Genomic DNA, 10,278 nt, shown 5'->3' on the forward strand with positions numbered 1-10,278 from the left:
CAAAGAAAACAAGTTGCTTTATTATGGAACCTCTCAAAGATGTTAATGGGCCTGGTGGCCCTTCAGGAAGCCTATTGCGAGCATTTCCTACACTTAACCACAGAACTTTTTTGGTCTCAAAATATGTCTCAAGACTGCTGACCTTCAGGGCTCCAGTTTGGAGAACTCTATTAAGAACATAGGCAGCAGCTGTCAGTATTTCCCCAGTAACTCTTCACCACATGCCATCGTGGCCGATTAAATATAAGAGGACCCTGAATCCGTAAATAATTCCTTTCAATGTTTTTCCAATTCTATTGTTAGAATTTTTTAAAGCAGCTTTGTTGGAAACAAAGAATATAGTTGCAGAAACTTCTAAACAGGCCAGTTCTCAGAAACTTCATTCTCCTATGGAGGAACGTCAGCTGGTTTGCAGTGACAGTTGTCACAGACTACACCCAGGGGAAAACGTGTCACACCAGTATTCTCACACCATGTTCACTCTGACCACATGGAAATTGAATTAGTGTTCAGTTTTGTGTGTATTATAACCAAACTGGCTTATCATATCAGATTAATAGTGGACTTTTTTCTCTCTTTTGGGGACAGGATAAAAAATGTCAGTACTCACTTCTCCAAGAGGAAAGGTAGAAGTTGTTCATTGCCGAAGAACAGAATCACAGGATGTTTATTGTATCAAAAGCCTTATTAGAAAATTTACCTGCAAGCTGTTTGGGAAGCTAAATATCATCTATCTTCTGTAAGTAGATAACTAAGTTCAAGAATGTTCATCAATTTTGGTTGGGTGCAGTAGCTCACACCTGTAATCTCAGCACTTTGAGAGGCCAAGGCAGGCAGATCACCTGAGGCCAGGAGTTCAAGACCAGCCTGGCCGACATGGCAAAACCTCATCTCTACTAAAAATACAATAATCAGCTGGGCGTGGTGGCGCATGCCTGTAATCCCAGCTGCTCGGGAGGCTGAGGCATGAGAATCGCTTGAACACAAGAGGCAGAGGCTGCAGTGAGCCAAGACACGCCACTGCACTCCAGCCTGGATGACAGAGCGGACCCCTGTCTCAATTAAAAAAAAAAAAAAAAAAAAAGAAGGTTCCTCAATTTTATGACATGCCAGAAAAGGATCCTACCTTTTTGTCTTTATGGGGCTTATTGTGAGCAAATGGGTAGCTTACTGCACAGTGAAAAAATTGTAGCAAGAAATCTCTGGGAACAACAAATTCCTATTTCCTATAATAATATGCAAATCAAAAAGGTTTCTCATGGGCTTTGGATTCAAACAAACTTGGTTCAAATCTCAGCTGCCTCACTCACTAGTGGAGTCACTTAAAACAAGTTAATAATATTAGCTGCCAGATTTTGAGAAATTAGTTTATGTCAGGCTCTGTGCTATGCCAACATTATGTTATTGTTCTGATACTTCTCTGAGGTGGCCACTATCATGTCCATCTCACAGATGAGAATGGGAGGCTGGCGCAGGGTCAAACAGTACGTTGGAAACCTGGATTTGTTCACAGCCGCTGCTGTTAAAGTGTTCTTCTGAACTTTAAAGTATGCATAGATTTGTTTCTTAAAAGATCTTTTTTCTCTCTGTTTTGTTTGTTTATAGACCTTCTGTGGGTGCCAAAATATAAATATCCTTGAATCTGTTCTTCATTATTTAATTAATTTATTTATTTTTGAGACAGAGGTTTGCTCTATTGCCCAGATCTGGGGTGCAGTGGTGCGATCTCGGCTCACTGCAATCTCCGCCTCCTGGGTTCAAGAGATTCTCCTGCCTCAGCCTCCAGAGTAGCTGGGACTACAGGTGCATGCCACCATGCCTAGCTGTTTTTGTTTGTTTGTTTGTTTTTTAGTAGAGACTAGGTTTCATCATGTTGGCCAGGCTGGTCTCGAACTCCTGGCCTCAAGTGATCTGCCTGCCTTGGCCTCCCAAAGTCTTTGGATTACAGGCATAAGCTACTGTGCTCGACCCTGTTCCGCATTATTTTTATTGAAAATATTAAATATCCTAGTATTTTGGATTTCATAAAGCTTCATATCAAATACAATTGAAATGTTTAAGCTAAGGCCAGCCTAAGACATTAAAGTTTGTAGTTTCTAATTACCCCCCTGATGAATGTAATATAAATTGGCACAATTTTACTAGAGGGCAGTAGGGCAATAGTTATAAAATGCCTAAAAAATAGATATACCAATGAAATGATTTTATTTTTTGGCATTATGGTGGACTCAGTACCTTAAAGATGTCCATTGGATGGAAACAACTAAAATACTGATACACACAAAAGCTAAGGACTGTGTAGGGAACATTATCAAATTGAAATCAGAAACTTCATTAGATAAACAGGAACCAATGCTAGCTTCATCCTTGAGGATTTTTGCCACATTCTATTAATAGCAACTTCATATTTCTGTTTTGACAGCTTTGCAAAGAATGGAAGATAACTACTCCCTCCACCTAAGGAGGAAAGCATGTGACCCCTTTGTATAAAATTGGGATGTTCATTGTAGGGATGAACAAGATATAAACCCACTAAATAAAAATGGACAGTGAGGGCTCACTCAGCCTTAGCATGGAATAGAGGGGGATAAAGTCTCTTCTGAGAATTCATAAGCACACACTGATTTGAGATCCATGTTAATTATTTATGTGGTCCAAAAAATGTTGAAGTAAAGAATTTAATTAAAAATAGTCACAGGCCAGTAGTGTGTCCAGGAAACTGGCTGACATAAATGCAAATCAAGTGTGAAGGGATGCAGCTTCAGCTCAGACTCCAAATAATAACCCCAGATAAAGTTGCAAGGTATATGAGCTCACAGTCAAAAATCGTAAACACACAAGGAAACATGTATCATTAGAATCAACAAGAGAAATTATATAGGATAATCAACTCCCAAAGACTTCAGATATAAAATTAAACAATGAATATAAAATAACTATGTTTACTATGTCTAAAATAAAAAAGGTAGGTTTAAAAAGATGATTAAAGAAGGCCGGACACAGTGGCTCATGCCTGTAATCCCAGCACTTTGGGAGGCCGAGGCAGGAGGATCACGAGGTCAAGAGATTAAGACCATCCTGGCCAACAGGTGAAACCCCATCTCTACTAAAAATACAAAAATTGACTGAATGTGGTAGCGCGCACTCTGTAGTCCCACTACTCGGGAGGCTGAGGCAGGAGAATCGCTTGAACCCAGGAGGCGGAGGTTGCAATGAGCCAAGATTGCACTACTGCACACTCCAGCCTGGTGACAGAGAGACTCTGTCTCAAAAAAAAAAAAAAAAAAAAAAAAAAGGATTAAAGACTAAAAAAATCTGGGATGCTGAGGTGGGCAGATCATCCGAGGTCAGGAGTTTGAGACCAACCTGGCCTATATGGCAAAACCCCATCTCTACCAAAAATACAAAAAATTAGCCAGGAGTGGTGGCACACACATGTAGTCCCAGCTACTCAGGAGGCTGAGGCAGGAGAATCGCTTGAACCTGGGAGGTGGAGGTTGCAGTGAGCCGAGATCGCACCACTGCGCTCCAGCCTGGGTGACACAGTGAGACTCCATCTAAAAAATAAAATAAAATAAAAAATAAAAAATTATAAAAATGAATAATCATGTTTAAACAAAAGTGAAATAGACCATCTAGAACTTAAAATGTAATTGAAATTAAAAGCTCTGTAGATGAATTAAACATCCTTCATAGACACAGTTGAAGACAGAAGTAATGAGCTGGAGGATCAATACCAGTAAATTACCCAGAGCTCAACACAAAGAGAAAAAATATGAATGAAGCATGAGACCTAGTCTAGTTAGACTTTTAGAAGAAGATAATAGGAAGCCAAAGGGTAATATTTGAAGAGAGAATGGCTGAGAGTTTTTCAGAATTGTTGGAAAGCACTACTTCTTACATCTGGAAAACTCAGTGGATCCCAAAGGGGATAAATACACAGAGAAATCCCAACTGTACCCATCATAATGAAACAGCAAAACACTCCAGTTAAAAAGATCTGAAAAATAACAGAGGGGGAAAAAAAAAAAACCAAGTTACCTGCAAAGAACTAAAGATTAGACTAATAGATTTCTTAGGAGCCACAATAGTAGTCAGAAGATAGTAGAATATCTTCAATAGTGGAGAGAAAAATAACATCAATTTAGAATTGTGACATTGTTTCACCCAGTGAAACAATTCCTAGGGGACCTGGGAGAAAATAAATGCATTTTCTGACAAACAAAAACCTAAGTCATTTGCCAATAAACTCTGAATGGAGGAAATTCCTCAGAATATGTTTTTGGAGGAACAGAGAATACCTCAGCTGGAAAGCTCAAAACACAAGAAGGAATGTCAACAAAAATATGGAAAATATATAGGTAAATCTAAGAAAAAGTATGACTTGCATAAAACAATAATATTGATAATGACTGATTTGTGAGGTATAAACCATATGTTAAAACTAAGATTCAGGACAAAAACATTATATAAATTGGGAGGAGCATGATTAGAATGAAAGAATCCTTCAGGTTTTATTTAAGATGGAGGGTGTGGTAAGTGGTGTGCAAACAGGCTCCCCTGGCTCCAATGAGCCACACATCCTGTCACTTACGCCTTTGTGTAGTCTGTTCTCACAAAGAATCATGGCTCGCCTTATGCAGCCAATGGAAAGCAGCAGAAGTGAGACTCTATTTGACTTCAAGTCTAAGTCATAAGAAGTCTTGCAACTTCCACTGGGTCTCCGGAAGTGCTCCTTCTCAGAACCCAGTGCCACACTGATGAAAGCTCCAGTCACATGTTTCCCTGTGGGTGCTTCATTTGACAGCCTCTGCTGAGCTCCCCGCTAGCAACTGCCACCAGCTGCCAACCATGCAAGTAAGCCGTCTTAGACACTGAGTCTTCAGATGGCTTTAGCCACTGCTGCCATTTGATAGCCTGAGATACCGTGCAAAAACTGCTTAGTTCAACCCAGGCAGCCCACAGAACCATGAGAGATAATAATTGCTACTTAAAGCCACTGAGGTTTGGGGTGGTTTATTACACATCAGTTGATAACTGGAACAGATAATAAAGACTGTTAGGAATATATATTAACATGGTTAAGATCATCATTAAAAGAACAGGTGTAGAGATGATAACTTCTGATCTATAGAGGGAAAAATGGAATGAGAAATTTAAAATGAACCCTGAATCTAAAAGAGGACAAGACAGGAGGAGGAAAAAAGAAACAAAAAGCATAGAATGTATTAAAATTACAGAATAAGAAAATAAATTTTACTATATCAGCAATCATAATAAATGCATCTGGACAAAAATCTTCCATTAAAAGATTAAGAATGGCAGATTGGCTCAAAACAAAACAGTCATATTCTATTTGTGAGACATACCTCATATATAAAGTCACAGAAATATTTAAAGTCAAAGTATCAGGAAAAAAGATATGCCACCCAAAATCTCACCCAAAATAAGGGCTAGTATTGCTATATCAACAGCAGACAGTGTATAGTTCAGGACAAAAAGCTCCCTACAGATAAAGAGGGTCACTATATAATGATAAAACTGTTGTTGGGAGAGCTATGACAGCTTTAAACTTATATGCTTCTAACAACACAGTTCTAAAATAGATAAAAGTGAAAATCACAGGTAGAGCACTGGAGACTCTCCCGCCTCCCTGTGTTCCCCATGCCTTTTTGTGCCATTCTCCCTGCTGTAGTCCCCATGTTTTCTATCTTTGTTGAGCCTGTGATTCCCCTGACAGAATGTAATGGAAGTGGGGCTGTCCTGGTCCCAGGCCCAAGCGTTAAGATGGCCTGGCAGCAGGGCTGGCCCAGGAGAGGCACGCAGGGTATCCTGGGTACTCACTCCCAGCTAGGGCCCCTGCATGAACCTGAGAGTGAACACCTCCTTCCATTTTTGAACCCTGGGTCCCTCTGGCCTCACCCTAGTTCGAGCCTTTGCTGGGAGCTTTCAGTTTTGTGATCTTGGGAGCCTTGCACTACCATGTAAAAAGTCTGGCTACTCTACTGGACATACCACCCAGAGAGGCCATATCGTAAGAGAGAAGTGTGTGCCTACATGGAGGAGAATTGAGGAGCCCAGCCTCCAGCAAGAAGGAAGGCCCCATGTCACTCTTCCAGGCACACCCCAGCCCCTTTGGGCCACCCTCACTGAGGCACAAGACACATGAGGGAAAAAAACCGTCTTGGAGGTTCTTGCCCCAACAGATACCCCTACTGTACCCTGTCTGAATCTCTCACCCATAGAATCATGAGCAAATAAAACAGAGTAGCCACTAAATTTGGGATAATCTGTTATGCAGAAATAGTTGAACAAAATAGCAGGTCTTAGAGGGAACTTATAACCTTAAATGCTTATAACAGAAGAGAAGAAAGGCCTGAAATAAAGTTCAGAGTTTACCTCTAAGAGCAAGAACAGTCGAATCAACTCAAGGAAAACAGAAAATAAAGGACAAGAGCGCATATTAATGAAACAGGAAACAAGCATCTGGTAGAGGATAAACAAAGCCAAAAGTTTGTTCTTTAAAAAGCCTAAAGAAAAAAAAAATCTGACAAGATTAATCAGGAAAAAAAGAAAAACTTTCAAAGTAATGTGAAAAGGACATAATCACAAATGTTGCTGAGGTTAAGCAGGTAATAAAAGGGCATTATAGATCCACAATCCTTTAACTAAATCCCTCGTGACTAGTTGTGTTTCAGAAAGCAGAATTTAAAAAATTAGTTTCTTCCATTGATGAAATATTATTGAATTCCACCCACAAGGGCTGGAGAGATTTTCCATAATTACACACGTTAGGATATCTGTGGTAAAAATGTAAGAATATTTTATATATGGGATCAAGACTGTAGAGTAACCTCCTGTCACTTCAAGTCCAATTTTGCTGCTTCCAGTTTTTAGGGCTTTATGGATTTAAAGGGATTGGGGACCTGTATAAAAAAACTGCATGCCAATAAATTTGAAAATATGGGGTCCCAGAAAAGTTTCTTAAAATCAACTTAAGAAATGATAGAAACCCATTAAATTGAATCGTTAGTTTTAAATCCTCCCGCCAATAAAATGGTCGGCACAAGTGCCTTTATAAGCAGTCCTACCAAAGATTCAGGGATTGGGTATGTCCCAAATAAATACAAGTTCTTGGAAGCAGAAAGATGGAGAATACTTTTTAGCTCACTTTATGAGGCTAGCATAATGTTGATATCAAAATAAGACAAAGACAGTACAAGAAAGGAAAGTTAACGGCCAATCTCACATAGAAAGAGAAATGAAATTAATGTTCATGCCTTGCTCATGAACATGGATGTAAAAATTCAAAAAAAAATTGGAAAGGAATCTAATGATGAACTAAAAAGATATGATTATGATTAACTGATCATGGTATTCATGATTGGCTTAATACTAGAAAATTGATTAGTCTAATTCATCAAATTAACAAAGGAGAAAATCTAATAATCTCAATAAACAGAGACAAAATCATTCGATAAAATGCAATATTCTTAGTAATAATTCTTAACCTAATAAGAATATAAGATGACTCTCATATGTATACAAACCTTTAACAAACACCATATGTAATGATAAAATATTAAAAGAATCCCTGTATAGTAAATGAGGATGCCTGTTGTCATGAGATCCTAGCTATTGCAGTAAGGGAAAGAAAAAGCAATAAAATGTACTAGGATTTGAAAGGAAGAAACGAAATTGTCATTTTTTGCAGGTAATATATTCTCTACTTAGCAAATGGAAAGGAATGTGAATTAGAATGAATATAGAAGTTCAAAATTGCTGGCTATGAAGTCATTGAATAAAAACCCATTGCATTTTTATATACTAACAATGAACAGAAAACATTTTTCTATTTACACCCATGCCAAAGAATATAAAGTACCTAGTATAAAACTGACAAAATAACTCTAAGCTCATTATGGGGTAAATTGTCAACTATTGAAAGACATTAAGGAAAGCCTAAATAGAGTAACCGCCCCCCACCCCGCCTTATCTGAGGGGAATATATTCCAAGACCCCCAGTGGATGTCTGAAACTGAGGATGGTACCACATCCGATTGTTATCAGTCAGAACACATTTTTGTTCATGCCTTCCACCCACAAATGTAACGGCTTTTCCATCGTAACTAAGCATTTGCTATGCACTGTGACCATAACTTTTGTAGTTTGAAGTGCGACAGGAGAACTAACAGGAATTTCTTTTTCCATTTTCACAATTTCACGGATTAAAGATTTCTTCTTACCCTAGATCTTAGCAAGCTCAGCATACAATTTATTTTTTCCTCATTAAGTTGAGAATTTTCACCTTTTTGTGTAAAGGAAGCCTTTTACGGCTTCTTTTCAGCATGTCTGAATTACCAGCGTCACTACTCTTGCACTTTGAACCAAAGCACTGTGATGCAGTGACAGTCGATCTGGTAACAGAAGGCAGTTACCAGATCTAATACTAAGTGACTCATGGGCAGCAGCATCTACAGTGTGGATCTGCTGGACAGTTCCTGGGCAGGACGGGCTGGGATGGCACGTAATTTCATCTTGCTACTCAGAATGGCATGCAATTATAAATTTATAGATTGTTTATTTCTGGAATTTTCCATTTAGTATTTTCTAACTGCTGTTGACTGCAATTAACTATGAAACTGTGGGCCATGAAACCACGGAGAAGTGGGGGGACTACGGTATTTCCCAAGAGGTAGACCACATTTTGGACAGGAAGATTCAAATCATAAAGTTAGTTTCTCTCCACCCCCGTCAAAATCCTAACAAGATTATTTGTCAAGCTTAATGAGTCTAAATTTGTGTGGGAAAGCAAAGGTTCAGGGTAATCTGAAGGAAGAAAAATAAGGTGGAGAGGCTTGCCAACTAAAGGTTCATTGTAGGTATAATAATCAGGGCAGTGTGGTAATTTGCAGGGAATTTTGACAAAAGACAGATGGACCAGGATAGAGATCCCAGAAACAGACGCATACTATATGAAAATTTGATGACGGCTTTGTGAGGAAAGGATGTGCCACTCAATAAATGGTGCTGGGAGTGTTCGTTATTCACATGGGAAAGAAAATAATAACCAACCTCATGTAGTAGAAAACTTGTAAAAATTAATTCTGGGTGAATTTATGGTATAAATGTGAAAAACATCTGACATCGATGACAGAACCTTCTGGATTCCAAATTCATTTATCCAGCTTCCTGGTGAATGCCAACCCTTGGATACCTAGTAGGCACTTGGAACCTAGCATGATCTTCACCTGCATTCAATCCACTCTTCCCACACTTTTCCTATCTCAGTAATTCCAGCCTTCCCCTTGCTCAGACCCCAAACATTTAAAAAAAAAAAAGTTAAAATGGAATCTTTATAACTGAAAAGGTTGCAACCTATCTTAGAAGCCAGCGTATTTTCAGAAGTAAAAGCAAATTTAAATTTTCATTGATGTCCTGAAGCTTCCAAAACAGCTGCTACTAAGCCCACACAGTGTTTCATTTTTTATATTAGGCAACTCCTGTCCCCTGGCCAAGTCAACTGCAAGGCTTAATGACTTATTTTATAGACATTTTGAAAAAAAAAAAAAAGGTGGTTCTTTTGTGGTCTGTGTGTTTGGTTTTATTTTATTGACTGCCTGTTCAGTTACAGAAATAGAGGAATGAATAAAACTGATCTCACCTAAAAATCCAGCTAAATTTTAGCAGATTGGGCATGGCCGATGAGTGGGGAAAGGGCTGAAAGAATCACCTGCGTCCAGTGCAAATAGCACAGTGGCGATCGGGGGGACAGAACTGTGCCCAGGCTGCAGTTTGTGAGCAATGGATGTGAGGAAACTCTGAGGTTTCTGGGTGATGGTGTTGTTAAATCAAGCAGAAAAAGCGAGTGCTGTTTCTCTATGATGGAAATCTTAGAAAATCTTTTGTACAAAGAACTTAAACAAATTTACAAGAAAAAAAACAACCCCATCAAAAAGTGGGCAAACAGACACTTCTCAAAAGAAGACATTTATGCAGCCAACAGACATATGAAAAAATGCTCATCATCACTGGTCATTAGAGAAATGCAAATCAAAACCACAATGAGATACCATCTCATGTCAGTCAGAATGGCGATCATTAAAAAGTCAGGAAACAACAGATGCTGGAGAGGATGTGGAGAAATAGGAATGCTTTTACACTGTTGGTGGGACTGTAAATTAGTTCAACCATTGTGGAAGACAGTGTGGTGATTCCTCAAGGATCTAGAACTAGAAATACCACTTGACCCAGCAATCCCATTACTGGGTATATACC

General features: G+C 38.9%; 1 protein-coding gene across 2 annotated transcripts in view; it reads left to right on the forward strand.

Annotated features, from left to right (window-relative positions):
- CFAP61 (cilia and flagella associated protein 61) overlaps positions 1-10,278 on the forward strand; it is a 308,167-nt gene that overhangs the window by 3,526 nt on the left and 294,363 nt on the right. The window contains exon 2 of one of the 2 annotated variants that reach the window (NM_015585.4): positions 561-739. In NM_015585.4, coding sequence (NP_056400.3) covers positions 597-739 — 143 coding nt within the window. In that variant the 5' untranslated portion in view covers positions 561-596. Of the gene's footprint in view, positions 1-560; positions 740-10,278 lie in introns of those variants that run through there. The other variant, NM_001167816.1, reaches the window with a different exon arrangement.

This window comes from Homo sapiens, chromosome 20 (assembly GCF_000001405.40).
Source record: "Homo sapiens chromosome 20, GRCh38.p14 Primary Assembly".
Taxonomy (NCBI): Eukaryota; Metazoa; Chordata; class Mammalia; order Primates; family Hominidae; genus Homo; species Homo sapiens.